The 20,384-nt window shown below is 39.9% G+C and overlaps 1 protein-coding gene and 1 non-coding gene across 11 annotated transcripts in view; one reads left to right on the forward strand and one right to left on the reverse strand.

The window, feature by feature from the left end:
• The window catches only part of SNX24 (sorting nexin 24), a 183,706-nt gene that overhangs the window by 147,763 nt on the left and 15,559 nt on the right, over positions 1–20,384 (forward strand). For 2 of the 10 annotated variants that reach the window (XM_011543349.4, XM_005271972.6), the window contains 5 exons: positions 6,537–6,631; positions 8,030–8,062; positions 8,565–8,629; positions 14,307–14,370; positions 17,627–19,331. The exons of 1 other annotated variant lie outside the window; for it this stretch is intronic. In XM_011543349.4, coding sequence (XP_011541651.1) covers positions 6,537–6,631; positions 8,030–8,062; positions 8,565–8,629; positions 14,307–14,370; positions 17,627–17,762 — 393 coding nt within the window. In that variant the 3' untranslated portion in view covers positions 17,763–19,331. Of the gene's footprint in view, positions 1–4,832; positions 4,963–6,536; positions 6,632–8,029; positions 8,063–8,564; positions 8,630–14,306; positions 15,831–17,626; positions 19,332–20,384 lie in introns of those variants that run through there. 7 more of the 10 variants (XM_011543350.4, XM_006714592.5, NR_146145.2 and 4 more) reach the window with 6 other exon arrangements.
• LOC124901213 (small nucleolar RNA U13) lies at positions 16,167–16,265 on the reverse strand. Its single transcript, XR_007059177.1, has one exon. It is a non-coding gene; the product is annotated as a small nucleolar RNA U13 (small nucleolar RNA).

Raw genomic sequence — 20,384 nt, forward strand, 5'->3', positions numbered from 1 at the left:
GCAAGCTCTGCCTCCCGGGTTCATGCCATTCTCCTGCCTCAGCCTCCCCAGTAGCTGGGACTACAGGCGCCTGCCACCACGCCTGGCTAATTTTTTTGTATTTTTTAATAGATACGGGGTTTCACTGTGATAGCAGGTATGGTCTCGATCTCTTGACCTGGTGATCTGCCCGCCTCAGCCTCCCAAAGTGCTGGGATTATAGGCGTGAGCCACCATGCCCGGCCTACTGGCTGCCTTTTTAAAAGTGTTCCTTTGCTAACCTGATTATGGCTCATTTTGTGAAATTTTGACCAGGTGCAGGGAAGTGGTAAGTAGAAGACTGAGGACTACAAAGCCTCTGTGAGCTCTTAGGTTTGGGTCCCAGAGGACAGTGACACTGCAGCCCATTTACTGCAGTGAGGAGGTATTGATTTTTCTCCCTCCTTGTTTTTAGCCGTATCTCTGAAGTAGATATGGTATGAAGCATCTTTCCTGGTGAAGAGAAGAAAAGCTTCAGTGGTGAACTTTGTCACCCCAGCAGCCGGACATTTCAAACCAAACTAGATGGAATGGAGAAAGAGCTTAAAGTGCTCTTGTAAACCTCTTGACTTAATTCAGTACCTTAGCTTTTGTGACAAAGAGGTTCTCTACAGTTTATAACAACCCTGATAGACAATGGAAAGAAGTGTGTGTGTGTGTATGTGTGTGTGTGTATGTGTTTTGAAAAGGGAATAAAAGGATCAAATCAGTGAAAACAACACAGCCCTGTGCTATGATCTTAGAAGGTTAGCAAAGTGGTCTTGTCCAAGTTTTCAACAAGATGTTCCATTCCTGTTATAATTGGCTGCTGGGTAGGTTTGGACCTAACTAGAATGCCAGCGTTCGATTTCACTGTGTTCTCAGTGGAGATGTGTCACCGTTTATGCTCGCCTTAGTGACAATTTTCTAAAATGGAAACTCGTGGGAAATCATTACAGTGTTTATATGTCTCCCTTGTCGGACGGCGTTATCCTGTGATATTTTACCAGTGTTTTCCACTGCATGATGGCATCTCACGAAGGTTAGGGCAGAACAAGTCCCTCTGTAATTTTGTGACTACATTTTACTTACTGAAGAAGAAAAGATAACTGACAATTAAGTATTTGGGATGTCACAGAAAGAACATGTGCAACTAATCAATGGTATCCTTTGGGAACATGATTTTATAAAGCTGATAAGGTAGAAAAATTGGGATTTTGTGATTTGTGTTACATGATGATAATTGTACCTTTTCAATAAAAAGAGCATTTCTTCTGAAGTAAACATTGAGCTTACAGGGGCTGTTGGTGGTAATGCTGTTGTTTTTCTGCCCCATGCAGGAAGTTTTTTATAAATGCTTTCATAGAGTTTACATTTTTAAAAATTCTTCATTTAAAGTGATATTTCTGAAGAAATATCTGGTCTGCTTTAGAGAAAGTCATTTATTCTTACAAGAGTGAGTAACATTGTGTAAAGAAAAATAATTTTTTTTTGTTTTTTACAAAATACACTCTATTGCCCAGTTTTACTGTTTATCAGAGTTGGATGTAGTAATATCGAAGTGAGTCAAATAGCCTGTCACACACCTGTAACAGTTCTTTCATTTAACCCCATTTCCTACGTGCACCATAATAATAACCTGATTTTTGTCTGCCTATATTCCTAAATGACAGATTGGATGGAAATTTCTTTAGTGCATTTCTCTGTTAATTCTATACCATCTCCAATCTGCAAGTCAATTAAAGAGTCCAGGATATTTTGATGCTCTTCAGTGCCTATTCTTTTCATACTATGTCACTTTTACTACTTTTATTGCACACGCTTCAATTAGAAAATGACTCCTTCCTTGCTAGTTTTGACAGTACTTTCTTCTTCTTCCAGCAGCTTTGAAAATGCTGGATAACCAGTGGCCACCCTCCTTAACAGAACAGTTAGTTAACTTAAAAGATCATTATCCCCTTGACTTTCCACTGCCTGGTTCCATTCTTGGTACCCATTATTGGATGACTTGTTTTTATGGAAACTATTTTGAAATCTTTTAGTTATTTTCATTGCTTGCCTCTAGCTCTTCCTAGGTTTATTCTTATTTCTCTTTTGTGGTGGCAGGGGGTGCTTGATAATATTGCCTTAAGTGGGGTGAGAGAACTGTTCAGCGCATTTGACACCATGTGGAAGGAACACTTCTTGCAGACCTACAATTTGAGACCCATGATTCTCGCACATAAACAGCTACTCTCTGTCTTGCATCTGGGTAATTAATTCTGCCTCTCACAGTATTTCACTCTGTGTGTATACCTGTAAAATTTATTGGGATTTATTTCTAGCTTTTTGTCCAAACTTGTCATATTAATTTTGAATTCTTGATGTTTTACTGCATAAATTAGTTGACAGGCCATGTGTGCCAACTTGCATCCAGGAATGGGATGAGCAGCATCAGAACTTCACCACCAGAGTCACTGGGTAATTAAGTAGATAGCACTGGGCCTGATCCCATCGCTACCCTGCAGTTCAGAATGCCCCTCTTATAACAGGGGCAGCATGGTAGTACTTCATCAGCTGTACTCTAACCCAGCAACGATAGAGTGGAAAATCATACTTTCCTTAATGTTTTGTTAATTTTGGGAGCCCTCCACACCACTGACTGCTGCATTTTAGAATAATATATAGAAGACATGGAAATCATGAATATGAATTACTCTCTAGAATCGGTGCAGCAATAGATTTTGGTGTATTAGAAAGAATCCTTTACCACAGTAGCCTCAATGCCAAACGTTTTCAACTCAGCCCAGAGCTGAAGGCATTAATGAATTCTAATAGCAAGGCAGCATACCCTCCAGTGGGATTCTAATTGACAAAGAGATAGAAAACTGAAACAAGAAGGCCAGCGTGTCCTTTGGGGAGCTGGCACACAGCACCGGCCACAGTGCATCAGGCTCCAGGCCAAAGAAAAGTGAGCCCAGCAGTGAGTGCTATTGCCCTGTCTAAGCTAAAAGCAGGTGTTCTTGGCTGGGCTGTCAGGGGTCTGCAAACCCCCTGCCACTGAAAGCACAATTATAGATGTATGTATGTTTTCCAGCAAGCAGGATACTCAGCTTTTATCTGATACTCAAAAATATCCCTGAAATATAGAGGGCCAAGAAGCTCTGTTTGCTCGATGAACAATTATCCAAACTTCAAAATGGATAAAATAGGTTGTTGGAAATTAATACAACAACAATACTCAAAGAAAAGAGAATTAGCATCTATCCATCGCTGATTGTGTATCAGAGATTCTTGGAGACATTTAATCCTCACAATAACCTAATTTTAAGATAGAAAGAGAAAGGATTCAAACTCAGGTCTTCCTGAAAGCCCACATACTTCCTACTCCACACTGCCTCTCTAAAGAATGAAAGCGATTAACCATTGGATATTAATAAAAAATAAAGATAAGCAATCTAAAACAATAGGGAGATAGGATTTGATATTCAAAAATTTGATTTTTTAAAACTTAGGAGCTTATTGTTGAGCAAAGTTGAGAGATTTAAACCCAACTGACATTTATTCTATAGGATGACCCAGGGTACAGCTTCAAGAAGGGGTGGTTCCTTCAGAGCAAAAGCCTTTCAAGAAACTGAAGAAGTTGTAAATGGAACAGTTGTGAGGTCCAGCCTTACTGTTCAGTTTCTCATGAATATGATCATGTGTGTATGAACAAAAAGATTTAATTCCTCTTTTGTATCTCTGTACCAGTTGATGACAGTCATTTGTACATAATATATTACATTAGGTAAATTCTTCTGTATTTTACTTTGTCTCTGAAGTATTAGTTCTTTTCTCCCAAGCTTTTAAAACAGAGCTTAGGAAATATTCCTGCCCACATAACTAAATGCTTAACTAACTCTCAATGCTGCCTTCTCTAAAACTATAAATCCCAAAGTACATATTGGTCATTGTTTTATGGAAAATATTATTTGAGAATATTCGGTGAAAATTTAGCAAAGTAAATTCATGCAAATTTCTGGAGTTTTCTGTAGTGCTTTTGCCAGTATATCTTACGTAAAGCAATGTGATCATCTGTTTGGAGAACTCTGTTTGGGGAAGCTGAGCAGGATTAATTCCCGTCCCTGTGTTGCAGTGTAAATAGCTTTTTTCCTGTCTTTTGTCATTAATGATCATGCCGTAGATGTAGCCAGTGCATTGTAAGCCGATCTGTCAAGGCAAATAAACAATTCACCTTGTTAAAATTCCCTAAATCTTGCATTAATAAACCTAAGTAACCCCCTGAACACTCAAGAGATGTCTTCCTCCATACTGCGGTGATGGATGACACGTCTAAAGATCCTGGAAATTAAGTAGTTCAGGTCATTAAAAGTGTCCCACACTTGTTATTGATTTAATTTATTTTAAGAAGGTGGGGGTGGAGATAAGAATGTTATACCCTCCCCTCTTTTTTTAAATCTGAAAGCAACCACTTGTACAGATAATTAAAACTATTGCCTGGGGTAACAAGTCTGCATGTGTTACAAATTAGGCTTTATTATTCAAATAAGTATTGTATCATCCTCTTAAACAGATATCTAGAAAAAAAAACAATCATTGAAACATGTGTCATAGCCAAAATACCTCGGAGTTTTATATGTGTGATGACGCCTAGAACTTTTTGAGTTACAGGCACTGAAATAATGACCTCTGGGCACCTAAAAAATGTCCTTGAATAGGTAAAAACTGAGATGAAAGTGAAATGATTTAAGGAAATTTAATTGAAATAGTAATGAAATTATGCCTCTGGATAAAGGAGGTTTTTTTTTTCTTTTTATTTTCTGAACTTTTTATTTTTCTATTTTTATAACCAGGAGAAAGTAAACACATACACACACATGGATGGAGAGAGGGACAGAGGGATGGACGGATGAATGCATTGGTAGATGGGAAAACGCTTAGAGAGTGATACGCTATTTCGATTCTATCTCACTATATTCTAAGGCAAGTTTAAGTTGTTGTTTAGTGTGTGTGTTTACTTGTTCATTGCTAGCTTTCTTCAGCCCATGCTCCACTGGACCTGTAAGATTTATCATCATGTCCCAGTGCCTAACATAATAGATGCCCAGGAAATTATTATTTAGTGAATAAAGTATAACACCCCAATTTTTTCTTCTATCTTTTATTCCTTAAGCTTCCATGGGAATGGTGAGCTGTGTAAAGAACCGTAGCAGCCCCCAGTGGAAGTGGCTCTTTAGATGACCCCTCTCCAGGGACTGAACACCAGGAGGGTTCTGCTCTAGTGTGGGACAGAGGGCAGCCTAGGAGGACTGGCAACCTGTATAGTTACCCACTTCATTTGTATGACCTGAACTGGGTAACAGTATTACAAAACCTGATGAGGAATTGGGGCCACTCAGTATGTGAACCATGGCTAAGAACAAGATGTGATATAGAACTATGTATCTACAAGGTACATAATTTCACCTCACTTTTGTTACTTGTTATGTATCTTATGCACCACCCTTACACAGTATTCCTGATCAGTTGTGTGAGTGATATTTCACCACTGATTCTCATAGTTCTTTAAACAACATGTACTTACTGGACAAAATTTACCCATGATAAGTTATGAAAAATGACCCTTAAGAATAGTTGTATTGAAGTCAGAGATTATGATAAAACCTTTGATGCTTTTCTCCTGTGGTCTTTTAGAAGAGGGGGAGGGGGAGGGGGAGGTGGCAAACTTATATTCAGTTCACACACTCTGGTAGACTTTAAAAATACATAGATAAGAAGATACATACTTCTTTGTCAGATTTCTCCTTGACATTGCATAATCTGGATCTCTGATTACTGACATGGTTATGCCATCATGCCAGCTATGTAGCAGAGCTCACTAAATGGAAGAACTCTATAGATTTTTTTTTCAGCATGTACACTGATTTACACTTAGCAGTAAAGTTGTTACTGACCCTTTAAGTGGAGCTGTCCAAATGGCAATAAATGTCAGTTGATTCTAATGCCAAAACAGGTGATAGTTGAGGGTTCTTGACTAAATCTTCCAGTTAAAAAATAATTTATCATATTTCCTAAATAGTAGTGGTCTCCTGTGGGGAGATACACACACACACACACACACACATGTATACATAATGTATATCAGACCACTTTATCACTCAGTAAAGAAAATTTGATATACATATCTTAACAGTATTATTGATGTTGCCAGGTTTTGAAATATTCACTCTGGATTAGAATCTCCATGAAGGCAAGAACCATTTCTACCTGGCTCCCCACTGTCTTGTCCCCTAGTCAGCATCTAGTGTATAGTAGGTGCTCTATAAATGCCAGTTGAATGAAAGAACAGATAAACTGCAGGATTTGCCGGCAATCCCTAGCATGTGTGTCAGCCCGAATTCCTGGTGGGCAAAACAGAGACCACTCCTCATCTTGACTGTGAGGAATGTTGCTGGTAAGAACTTTGATGGACGGTTATGACTTTTTGAAATAGTTCATTTGATTGATCACCTAGCAAACTTCACTTCAGTTTCGAATTCTGTTTTCTGCTTTCACAGGCTGTCATTTTAGAAAATGAAGAACTTCCCAAACTGTTTCTTGATTTCCTAAATGTGCGACACTTGCCCTCTCTACCAAAGGCAGAAAGTTGTGGGTAAGAATCATGTTTGCATATTGGATGTGTATTTTAAATTACTCTTCAATGACCAATTGATCTAACAAATAGCCCAGAGTGATGCCCGAGTAGCCTGCCGGCCACGCCCACTCTTTTGGCTTGCTGCAGCACTCGCTCGCCCCCTGCTTTTGGTTAAAAGAATTCCTCTGAGTCCTTATGCCCATCTTGCGGCCAAATGGCCATGGTTCGGTAACCCATGTTTAGACTCAAGGAATCAATCTTTTCAATTACACTGTTACATAGAATGATGTTACTTGATGGGAATTATGAATCTAATTAACTTGTTATGGGCTCATTTATTAGTGGAAACTCGAACAAAATTCATATCCTGGTGGTACACATTCATATAATTTTAAAGTTATGAATGATCTTAGAGATGATTTGATGCAACTCCTCTCATTTTGTAGTTGAGCAAACAGAGACACAGGAATTTAATGACTTTCCCAAGATCTCTTGCCTTGTAGCTTGCAGAACCGAGGCCTTCCAAGGCAAGCCCTCTTCCTCTACTGTCCAGCTGCCTCTCTCAGGAACTTCCAGTGGCAGGACTACAAATCCTAATCCCTATCTATTGGTCTAAACCCATTGGTCCTAACCCAAGGACCCAGAGGTTTGATATCATCAGCAATTAGGAAAAGCTCTCCCGAAGAATTAACTCTGAAATAAGCCACTGGCCCAGCAACAGCACATGACATGGGCTGAGCTAGCCTCAGAAGGCCTTCAGGAACATCCATGGCATACTGTATCCATTTACAGGGGAAAAAATCATCACAAACTCTCTGAAAATCCATGCAGGAGAGAGGTTTACCCATTTTCTTGCTGCCTGAAGGAACCACACTTAACTACAAGAAAATCAAGCAGGCCACACCCAAAGTCATGTTAAACCCCAGCCATCTGCTGGATGATGGGGCTGCAAACACCTGTCACAGCTCCTCATGAGCACTGTTTACTCAGAGCCACTTTCCACTTATTGCATAACAAAAATTATACACTTGGCAAATACTGTGTTGTCAGTGTGTTCTGTTCCAACTTGTATGTATTTACGGGCAGGTTAGGCTTCATATATGTTTATGTATTTTTTAGAATAGACATTAGCAATGGCAGTGAGCGAAATGTTTTCTCCATTATACAAGCCCAAAAGTAGTAATAAAACCTGAGGATTTTTAAGTAATCTTAAGAGAAATCAAAGAATATTCCAGTCTTCAGATTCCTTAGAATGGGGCATAGCCATGCTGTGGCTCAGTGGAAACTCACAGCTCTTTTAAAAAATAACTACCAATTCAGTCATCTAATAATATTGGGTATTTTTTCCTTTGTTGGCATAAACATTGACTCAACATATGTGGTTTTTTTGTTTTTTTCCTTTTTCAAAACTTTTAGATCTTTTGATGAAACAGAGTCTGAAGAGTCAAGGTAAGGACTAATCCTCATCAGCCAGGAATAGGATTATGGTTTTGCTAAATGTTTAATCACCTACGATGTGTTTCAAGTTATGTTTTTCTTAAGAACCTTTGTTTGGAAATTGGTTTTAAGATTATAAATATTTGATAGGGAATTACAGGAGTAACCAGTTAGAATTAAGAGTGGAGGAATAAGAGCCCTACATTGTTTCATGCAAGTAATCAGAATGTTTTATCAACAATCGTATTACAAGATTTTTAGGAAATCACGTTTCAGCAATGATTTATTGTATAGATTGTATATTTGCTTCAAATTCCACAAAGAAATGTTTAGAAGATGAGAGCAGTGCCCATTTGTTCACTCTTACTCTGCGTGCTATTATTCACCCACACTGTTAGAACATAAACCTTGAGACGTCCCCGCACAGCAGTTTGATCCCCTCAAAGCTAGTTTGTAGTGTTTTCTGTTTACCATCGTCCCCTGATGCTGACATGCCTGTTCTTGACCTTTCCAGCAAACTGTCCCACCAGCCTGTGCTGCTGTTCCTCAGGGATCCATATGTCTTGCCTGCAGCCAGCGGTAATCAAACCTGTCATCTGCTAACAGCTCTTTACTGATCTGACCCTGCACCACATAAACCACGTTTTTAATACAGGTCTAACAGAGTGACATTGGTCCCGGGCTTAATAATCTGCCAATAAACCAGTGCTCTTGGTATAAGCGACACTTAGAATTTTAATTGGGGCTGGCCTTTCAGGAGGAAATGTAATTTTTCTTTCTCTCTTACCAGACTATTTTGAATTAGAGTAATAAGGAAGAATGGTATTTATGGTCCTTAATTTTTCTGATCATGTCATTTTGGCCTCTGCTTGTTTTTGTCCAGATGCCAAGGTTCAAATTCAAGGCTCTAGTCCTTTTTAAAAATGCCTCTTCCCGGCCAGGCATTTTTAAAATCCCAGCACTTTGGGAGGCCAAGGCGGGTGGATCATGAGGTCAGGAGATGGAAACCATCCTGGCTAACACGGTGAAACCCCGTCTCTACTAAAAATACAAAAAATTAGCCGGGCGTGGTGGCCGGCGCCTATAATCCCAGCTACTCGGGAAGCTGAGGCAGGAGAATGGCGTGAACCCGGGAGGCGGAGCTTGCAGTGAGCCGAGATCGCGCCACTGCACTCCAGCCTGGGCGACAGAGCGAGACTCCGTCTCAAAAAAAAGCCTCTTCCCCGAAACTATGTGTATATACATTGCAGCATCTTTGATGGCAAACTATATATTTTTAAAAGTTGCATATTTTAAATACAATTAATTGATCTAAGTATAATTGTAATCAATATTTTCGACTGAGTCTTTTCTCTGTGCAAAGAAATTTAAATTCATCAGAGTCCCTCTCAAAGTGTTCTGTTATGCATCTCTTTATGAGCTCATTTGCATACATTATCTCATTTAATTTCCTTAACAACCTTGTGAACTAAGCAGGGCAGATATTATCATTGACTGAATGAGAAAATTGGGGTCCAGGGAAGTCCCTGACTTGTCCACTCTCAGATGGTTGATGGGTGGACCTCTTGTTGCCTATGTATTCCTTCTGTGCTCTTTGCATATAGTGAATCTTGTTTCTGGGAGTCACTAAATAGTAATAGATAAATAATCCATTGAAACCCTCCCTGTTTCTGACAATAAAACCTTATGAGCAGGAGAAAGGGAACTGCTCTCTATAGCAAGGATACACGTACTCACATCACCCACTTAGCTGTCAGTTTGAAGAAGGGTGGCCAGGACGCAGCCCTGCTCCTCCCTAGGAAGGGTTGAGGGACCCTTCCTAGTAGCACCCCGATCAGAGTGAGCTGCCTTTGCTGTATAGGAATATGACCTCATATTCTTTTTCCTATAAGATCCTCGCAGTGAAGAATAACTTTCTCTCTGTAACGTTTGCTTCTTATGTTTAACAAATATACATGTTAGTTGATGTCATGTTAAAATATCATATTTAACAAATATTCATAATGCAATCTAATATAGATTAAATAGATAGTTTTATAAATTATTCTTATTATCTTTGAAAAATGGCTCCACAAGCACTTTTTCCATGTATTGTTTATGCTCAGATATGTCATGCATCTGACTGAAATTCCTGCAGAAGTGTAGACAGTGAAATGGTTACTGTGGACTAGAATAGCCAAGATACTTGATAGAAGAGGGAAGATATTTTATGACCTTTAAATCCAATTCATACAGCTTATTGAGCAGTGCCTACCATGTGCTCTATGCCTGGCTTGGACAGTGAAGAACAGGAGGAACTTTCTGGGAAGAAACATCAGGGGTAAATGTCTTGAATTGGAAAGAGTAAAACGTATGTATCATTGGTAGCATGGTAATATGGATGAAGACTTGCAAAATAAGGGAACTCCTGTTTGAGAATAAATGGATCACAGGTTTGATGGATGGGATGGGAGGTATGGAAGGACCAGTCACCAGATCTGTTTTCTTGGAATTTTGACCAATCCAGTTTCACGAATCAGATTCTTGTGATCTTAGAAGTGTTATACTAATGATATATTCTTGCAAATCTTTAGCATTTAATTTAAAGAGAAACTTTACTTGCATCACATTTTTGTTATGATGCCTCTTAGCAAGATATTAAGGTTATTATTCCAGAGGATATTGCGTATGGAAATTTCTTCACAGATGTACTGACCCCGCCCCCTACAAAGTCAGAGGAGTGTCTGTCTTCAAAGATCTGACATTTAAGCATTATCCTCTTATAAAATACTAATAATCAAATATCCCTTAGCTTTTAACATTAGAAATCAGGAGAGTACTCTCTTAACAGATTGAAAAGCATTTGCCTTTTGGTCTTTGTTTTGATTTTCCTGGGAAACTCAAAACAACTCTTGCCAAAGTCCCCAGTGATTTCAGTGTGGCTGAAGCCCATGGATATTTTTCAGTCCTCATCTTCCTTGGCCTCTCATGGACTTTAGACATGTTGATCTGTTTCTCCTCCTTCAAACAGTGTCTCCCCTTGGCTTTCCCACTTCCTTCCACTCTCTAGCAGCTGACCAGAATGCTGTCATAGACCCTCTCCTCTTCTCACTACACTTCCTTTCAGATAATCTCCTTGTGTGTGGCCTGCCTACCACGTGTATACACCTGAGTCACAATATTGTATCTCCATCTCAACTCTGTCCTGGGAGCTCCAGACTCTTACCTGTGGTTTGTTTGCAAGGCCCTCTGTGGCCTGCCCCAGGCTCATGTTCCTACTGGACCTCCTCATACACTTTGCCCTAGCCACCCTGGAATTCTTTCTGGGCCTCAGATGTGCTGTTTCCTCCACCGTGAGCCTTGTTTTCTCCATCCATAGCCGGCTGCCTCTCATCTTCCAGGGCTCACATTGAATGCCACGGCTTCAGAGAGCCTGTGCTGATTCTCCCTCTCCACGAGCCCCTCTACCCATTCACAATACATGTTCATTAAATAAGCAAAAACCAACAAAAATAACAGCAAAACCTGCCCTAAATCACCTTCCTTCTCATCACCTCTCAATGAGAATCAAAGTCAAGGACAGTTTACTGAGTAATGCTGGCAATAATGGACATTGTAGTAAATCATGCATATGATGAAGCCAAAATCCACAGTTTAAAGTAGAGTGGAACGGATGAGAAAACAACCCAAAACCCTGATTATGTTATTTCTGATCGCTAGTTGGTGGACCTTGCTTTAAAACACCTCCATCCCATTCACTTTTTGTCAGAGAACCCTATTTGCTTCCTTCATAGTAATGGTCACAGACTATCTTATCTTTGTTCTTTGGCTTTGTCCTCTAAATCCCCAGCATCTAGCATATGTTCAGCTCTTGGTGGACATACATACAGAGCCTCAGCACTTGCTGTTCCCTCTGCCAGGAATGCCCTTCTCCCGGACACCCTCCCAGCGGGCTGCTTTGTTCCTTCCTGCAAGTCATCACCCAAATGGCACCATCACTCAAATTCTTCCCTCACTTCCCTGTCTCTGGGCCCTCTCCAGCCCATGCCCTGCTGTATTTTTCTCCTTGCCCTGTTCTTGTCACTGCTTAACATGTTACCAGCGCAGTAGAGTTACCCATAGTATGTAATGTTATTTTCCTTTATGTCTTTTTTGCTTAACTTATTTAGTTGAATCCTTTTAAGCTAAATATACTTACAATGTAATTTCACTGACCTTCAAATCGACTTCTATATTGTGAGTGGCAAAGAATAAAGGCATGTCTGCCACCGTCATGTAATATGTCCTATTTGAGTATCTTTTAGAAAATTAACAGCTCTATTTATGGCAATTGATTTTAATATCCTTCTATGTGGGAGAAATACATTTAGAATTAAAATTAACTTAGCTAAATTATTGTTTTTTATTGGGCTCTAAATATACATGTGTAAGGCCTATCACACGCTTTCAAAGATATATTTCATGAAAAACCATTACTTCATGTTGGGGAAAGGCATGCACTAAAAAAATCAAGTGTCATCAACCAGAAATAACTGGATATTCATGTATTAGAGATTTTCTAAGATATAGTTTGTGTGTTCATTCGCTTGTCTCCCCAATTTTTAAAACAGCCTATAAGGTAGATACTATTATGAAATCCATTTCACAGTTGAGGAAAGAGAGAGACAGAGATGTTCAATAACTCACCTAAGGTCACACAGGTATTAAGTGGTCGATCCAGGAAACAGAGGCCTCTCAATAAATATATGTTGAGGTAAACTTGTCACCACATTCTATCACTTACTTGACTTCCCCTTTGGCAAGTCTCACGGGTGCCTCAAACACAAGTTCCAGACAGAGTTGATGATCTTCTATTTTACTCCTCTTCTGGGTCTTCTCCCACCACCCTCTGATTATGCAAGCCAGAAACCCAGGAGGCATCCTTGACTTCACCCCTTCCCTCACTAGCCACATCTAACCTGTCACTTGGTCCCGTCCTTCATTTCTCTAGAATTCCTCCATGGTTCTCCATCCTCAACCTCGTTTGGGCTGCCACCATTGCCCTCTCGAACTACTGCAGTAGTCTCCAAACTGATCTTGTGTCTGCTTTGAACTTCTCCAGTCCATTCTCCAGCTGGCAGCCAGAATCATCTTTTTCAAAACACAGTTCAACTCTGTCCCACTCTGCTTAAACTCCCTCAGTAGCTTCCCATTGAGTTTCAGATAAAGCCCAAACTCCTATCCATTCTTCCCAGGTGTGATGGGGCACCCCGTGCCCTCCAGCCTCCTCATTCCCACTTTTCTCACTATGTTGGCTTTCGTTTAGGTCTCTGAACCCTCCAGGCTCCCTCTGGCCACAGACTTGCCACCTGGCTAGCTCCCTCTGCCTACCCCTAGCCTCTGAGAGCCTTTCTGCCTCCTCTGATGAGGCCCAATCCCCTAGTAAATGATTTTATTTACACAGTAGACAATAGAGGCTAGATGCATATTTTTTTTCTTAAAATATTGGACTACTTTTATTTTCTTACATAATAATGATATTTATTTAAAGTGCTTTAGGATAGTTCCTGGATATCATTATGTACAGATTAAAGTTTAAAAATTAAACTTCTGAACCATGAGATAGATTGGTTCCCATTCAAGTAATCCATTCACATTTTACCTACTGTAATGACTGGAATGTGCTGTAACATACTTTGCACCCCTGGCCTCCCTTCCTGTCTCCTATAATAATGGAGCTGTGTTTTCAAGTTTGGCAGGATGGCTTCTGTTGGAAATTTGCCCTTTTAAGTTAGGAAGACTGACCCCCATCTTACTGCTCTCTTTCGAAGCTAGTCTAATGGAACAAGTAGACTCAGGACAACTTGGACTAAATGCACTGTAAACCACAATGGAAAAACTGCAGTGAGGTATTCCCAGTAGAAATCTTGGAATTCCTTCAAGTATATTGAGATTTTGTTAGAAATTGAATTGCCAGTGTAATCCATCTTCCTTTTGAGAAAACATTCAGATAAAGAGCTGAGGCCTAGCAGCATTAACTGTTAGAACATCCCTTAAATCAATAAGCTACAAATCTGGCCGCACATTCCTGCCGCGCCTGGTGGTGTGCTCAAGTGGCTTTAGGCTGAAGCAGCATGACTGATAGCACATCCTCAACCAGGCACATGCCTGGCGATGCAGATTCCTGTGTTTACCGTAAGCATTGCCTTGTTCCATTCTACAGAATGCAATTATATTTTGTTTCACATAAGAAAAGCAGTTTTTCTTTTTTTTTTCTTTTTTTTTTTCTTTTTTTCAGATTTTCCAAATGTGGTTATTGAAGGAGTCCTCCATGGGATATTTTACCCTCATCTACAGCCCAGGTAGAAATCCTACATGGCTAAAAGAAGCAGAAGCAAGTTTCGAAGTCACAGTCAAGGAAATCAATACCTACCAATTTAACCTAAACGCTATGATATATAACAGCTCTAGCTAGTGGTAAAGTGCACAGTCCCAGCTTAATTCAGGGCAGGGACATTTCCATTAGAATGGTGCTCTTAAAAATAGAAACTGAACCGGGGCGGTGGTCAGGCTAAGGCCAAGTGTTTAAGAAGTAGAGTGTAGCTGCCAGCGTAGAAACCCATGAAAAGGAGGCCACAGGAGATTCCTGGGAGCACTGGGTGTAGCAAAACAAAGCCACTCTCTGCTTCAGTCGCACCATTTGCTAATTGAAAATCATATCCTGAATCATACTGAGACTGATCAACTTTGGTAGCTTTTTTGTTCAGATCTTATGACACACTACTCTTCTCACCGTGAGATTTTCTCAGCCAGTGATAGTACATTCTGAAATGCTGGCACCAGGAGACGGCCACAGACACACACTGCTAAATGTGAAGATGGAACTAAACTGGAAATTAAATTATACTGACAATATTATGGCATTTTTAAGATCATGGCATTTTAATTTACATTAGAGTGGAGTTGCATCATACTCAGGGGTTAGCTTCCAAGGTCAGTACATAGGTAAAATGGGCTATTAGGATGATCCTTGAAAGCCCTTTAGAAGGGTGCCATGTTGGAAACCTGTACATCCACAACAAGTAGCTTTTCCTCCTATGTTGGAAAAAAAGACTGTTTCTTTGTTTGAAGACCAAGTGAAGTTGTTGGTGTTTGTTTAGGGGCCATTTTGTTAAAAAAAAAAAAAAAAAAGCACATAACTTTTAACACTAGAATCAGCCCGCAAGATGCTTGCCCCGCTAGTGGCAGATGTGAACTGACAAGGAGTGAAGCGCCCACCCAGCGGATGGACAGCACCCACCTGGGTTTACTCAAGGGTGTGCATTCATTTTAGGTGGGATCGCCACAGGATTTCATGTTATTTTCCTTACGGCTTCCTTTTCACTGACCTCATTTGTTGAGTTAATGTAAGTTAAATGTGTTTATGATATAACTCCACTGTACATCATCCTTTGAGTAGTAAAGGATAAAAGCATATATACTACCTATATGTATGTGCTGTATGTGGGCATTTCATTGAGATCTAATTAATAGCTAGCCTATTTATGGTTATTCGTTTTAGTAAGTTCTGTGGGAGCAAGGTATTTAAAATCAAAACTAATAACTACATCATGGTTTTTGATTAGGATCTAAATATTCAGGTTTTAAGCCTGCTGCAAACTTTTAAAATATTATGATAGATTCTGTACTACATGTGGGAAACAAGCAAGAACTAAATAATCAAATGTTGTCAACCAAAAGTAATAGTTGGGTATTGGAGATTTTTTTAAAATGTTTTTATGTTATTAGCTATTTGGAGTTAAATAAAAACAGAACAAGGAAACATTTGAGTTTGTCTTCTCCTAAGATTTCACTGGAAACATGGTTTGTATCTGTCTGTTTACACACACACACACATATGTGCACACACAAAACCTCTCACACATTCACATAGATGTTTATTTCTAATATGATAAGATAAATTATTATAATAAATTATCTCATCTATTAAGTCAGTAGATGTTCATTAAATATTTGATGATTTACCAAGATAATAAGAATTTTTTTGAAAAAACCAAGTATCTATAGTGGTACACTGCCCAAGAAATCTTTTCTGAGAATTAAGTTTTTTCTTAGTGATGACTTTCGCTTTTTATATTTATGTAAATTTTATTTCCCATGTCAAACAAGTCATATGCAGACATCATAAGATTTGCAGGAGGCACACCTCACAAGAGTGGGAAAACCCAGTCATCACACTTATGCACTACACAAGGATCATATCTATTTAAACTTTTAATGTGTAATTCTGTCAGGGTTATTGAAGGAACTAGAAACCAGTGTAGGTCTTTTACGCAGAAAAGGCTATAATGCTGAAAACTGAATGCTTACAGAATCTGTTGGAAGGGTGAGAGGAGTGCACTCCTGGTAGGTGTCCAAGAACAAATTCCAGAATGCCCCAGCAACTTCTAGCACTGACCTGCCTGGGGAGCTACAGCCTGTGCTGTAAGCAGGAATACAGGGAGTTAGGGGGCTGTGAGCGAAGCTCTTGAGGTAAACAGCATGAGAGCTGCAATCCAGGGATCAGCAAGTAGAATCAAAAAGGACCTGTTATCTCCATGAGATACGGAGCTCCCAGGAAATATAATGGCGATCTCTCTATGAGGTGCGGCCTCATAGCAGCACCCAGGAAGCTGGTGACTGGGCCTGCATCACAATTGCCTATCAACATCCGTGGCCTTGCTTGCCAGCAACCACAGCCCAAAGTGGCAGGAGGATGGTATTCGCCCACTCCCACCTCCCACTCCATAGCTCCCTTCAACGCACATCCAGTTTGTAGAACCTTATTCTCCATCCCAGGTGCAGGGAGTCTGGGAAGAAGCTGCTAGCCTTCTACAGCTCAGGAATGCACATGGGAAAGATGATGGAACTTTTTTTTTTTTTTTGAAGACGGAGTCTTGCTCTGTTGCCCAGGCTGGAGTGCAGTGGCACAATCTCAACTCACTGCAACTTCTGCCTCCTGGGTTCAAGCATTCTCTGCCTCAGTCTCCTGGGCAGCTGGGATTACAGGCGCATGCCACCACGCCTGGCTAATTTTTGTATTTTTAGTAGAGACAGTGTTTCACCATCTTGGCCAGGCTGGTCTTGAACTCCTGACCTCGTGATCCAACCACCTTGGCCTCCCAAAGTGCTGGGATTACAGGCATGAGCCACCGTGCCCAGCCAGAACATATTTCCATCATTTCCATGGTTGAAAATTTAATAAAAAATATATAAAACTATAGATAAAAAATAAATTTGTCTCCCATCTCATCTCCTAATACCGAATTCCCGTTCCACAGAAGGGAGTACTTAATGTGTCTGTACTTAATGTGTCTACTTTGAGTAATATTTCATCTACATACAAGCAGATATTGTATGTTTAGTGTACATATATTTAATTTCTCCTCTTTTACAAAAATGGTAGCACGCAATACCCATTGCTTTCTATTTTTTTTTATTTAACAATATCTTGGCAATCTTTCTGTATCAGTATATAAAGTGCTATTCTCTTTTTAAAAAAAAAAAGCTGTATGGATCTTCTATAATTTGTGTAACCACTACCATATTGATAGACATTTTACTTTTCGATTTCACTAGGCATGCCTGGCCCATATTGCTCTACAGGTTGTGCATTGCACAAGTCCAAGCAGTGTCATTCACATGGACCACAGTGTTAATAGTATTCCAAGTCATGCTTGGAACCCTGCACTTGGGGAAATATCAAAAACTTTAATCATTCAAACCATGGATTCACAGGCAATAGAGAAGTAAAGGACAGAGAAAGGAAACCAGAGGAAGGAAAAGGAAAAAAAAAATCCCATTACCACTTAAGTCAGGATGTGGGGACATCATTTGTCCTGCCTGGTTCCTGGACTTGGTGTTTTGCCTGGACTGTCTTCGATGCTACCTTATGCAGTGCCTCTCAGGCCTCATCTCTGCCTACTCATTCTGCATATTGGCAGCCCTCGTGTCCTTTCTCCTGGTGTCCTTGTTACTGCCCCCATTACAATCAGCCATGTGAACAACCCCAATATCACCATGACCATCAATACCTGGTAAATCCTACAGTTACAGTTATAAGTTCCCATTGAAAAGAAGTTGAGCTCTCTTAATCAGTTTAGAGAAATATGATCACACTTTTGAAATAACAGATGGTTTTCATCTCATTTGTCAACTTTGATCGATTGACAATGGCTGCTTGAAGTGCTGCATCAAGAAGAATTCTGGCACACCTGTGAGGATGGCTACTATCAAAGCAGAAAATAACAAGTGTTGGTGAGGAGGTGGAGAAATTGCAACCCTTGTAACTGTACATTGCTGGTGGAAGTGTGAAATGGTTGCAGCCTCTGTGGGAAATGGTATAACTTCTTCAAAAAATTAAGCATTGAATTGCTATGTGATTCAGCACTTCCACTTCTGGATATATACCTAAAAGAAGAAAGCAGGGACTCAAACAGCTATTTGTATAATGATATGGTTTGGCTGTGTCCCCACCCAAATCTCATCTTGAATTAATCTTAGTTCCCATAATCACCACAGGTCGTCAGAGGGACCTGCCAGGAGGTAATTGACTCATGGGAGCAGTTACCCCCATGCTGCTGTTCTTATGATAGTGAGTGAGTGCTCGTGAGATCTGATGGTTTTATGAGGGGCTTTTCCCCCTTTTGCTTGGCACCTCTCCTTCCTGCCATCATGTGAAGAAGGATGTGTTTGCTTCCCCTTCTGCCAAGATTGTAAGTTTCCTGAGGCCTCCCCAGACATGTGGAACTGTAAGTCAATTAAACTTCTTTCCTTTATAAATTACCCACTCTCGGGCAGTCCTTTATAGAAGCATGAGAACGGACTAATACATATATTCATGTTCATAGCATATATTCATAGTAGCCAAAAGGTGGAAACAACCCAAGTGTCCGGCAATGGATGAATGGATAAAAAGGAAATTCTGACACATGCTGCAACACAGATGAACCTTGAAGACATTCAGAGACATAAGCCAGTCACAAAAAAGCAAATACTGTATGATTCCATTTCTATGAAGTATCTAGCGTAGTCAAATTTATAGAGACAGAAAGTGGAACTTTGGTTGACAGAGGCTGGGGGAAAAGAGGAAATGGAGAATTAGTGTTTAATAGGTTTCAGCTGGGGAAGATGAAAACATTCTGGAGCTGGCTGGTGGTGATCATTGCTTAACAATGTAATGTACTTAATGCCATAGTATTGTACACTAAAAATGGTTAAAATAAATTTTATGTCATGTATATTTTACCACAATAAAAACAATAAAGGCTTTTGAGTGACTGCAGGCTCAGAGAATAAGGCTGTACTGATCAGGTAGCACTGTCTGTCGTGGGTGCAGGAGAGCTTTTGGCACACATACCAGTTACTAGTCTCACATCCCTGGCAACCTCTACAATCCTGAAACAGTAGTTCTAAACCAGAGATTTGCATCAGAATCACTTGGGATTCTGAATCAATAAATCTGGCCAGAGACCTGTCCTTGGGTAGTTAGAAACACCACCCAGTTCACTCTGATACACACCTGTATTAGGGACCACCAATTGATGGAGATGGTTTATGACCCACCCTTTAGCCATCTTGAATTATTTATTGACTTTCATAACTCCTTCAGAATCCAGTACCAAGAGAACATCTGTTCAACTCTTGGGGGTGTTTGTTATATGAGGTCACAGGAAAAGACCCTGAAGAAGCAGGAAGGACAAGTTTGGGTAGTGGTCTCAATAGATGCACTATACATAATTGGGAAGTTGTATATTCATTCATTCAGTTGTTCAGTGAAATGCATTTGGGTCCCCCCACTGGATTAAGGCACTATGTTAATTACTTAAAGAATACAGATGTAATCCTTGCCTTCTGGAATTGTTGGCCATTTACTAGGAAGGGTTTTTCCATCTTAATGAATTGGACATAAAGTTCAGTGATTAAGGCTGTCTTCTTCCAGTCTCTCTACTCCTTGCAAGTAATTATTTTCATTTTGGCTTTGTTTTGGTTTTTATTCTTGATGATAATTACAGATTTTGAATTCAGCAGCGGAAACACAGGGAAGTAGCAGGCAGTAACTCAAAACCAAAATGTCTGCAACGTTTATGTTTTCTGTCTGTGCAGATACATAGTGACAGACTGGATTCTGATGAGGGTGAAGGTCTATTTTTGTGTGACGGGAAGGAGGGCATATTATCTATGTTAAGTCATTGGAATACACTTAATTTACTAGAAGAAAATTTTGTGTCCTAAGAATGTGGTTGTAAATCTGGCCTATAAAATGTGAACCATTTTCTGTTTTCATTACACTTAACAGTAGTTACAGTGACAGCTAGGACATTGGTGTCCCTAGCTA

This window comes from Homo sapiens, chromosome 5 (genome assembly GCF_000001405.40).
Source record: "Homo sapiens chromosome 5, GRCh38.p14 Primary Assembly".
NCBI classification, from domain to species: domain Eukaryota; kingdom Metazoa; phylum Chordata; class Mammalia; order Primates; family Hominidae; genus Homo; species Homo sapiens.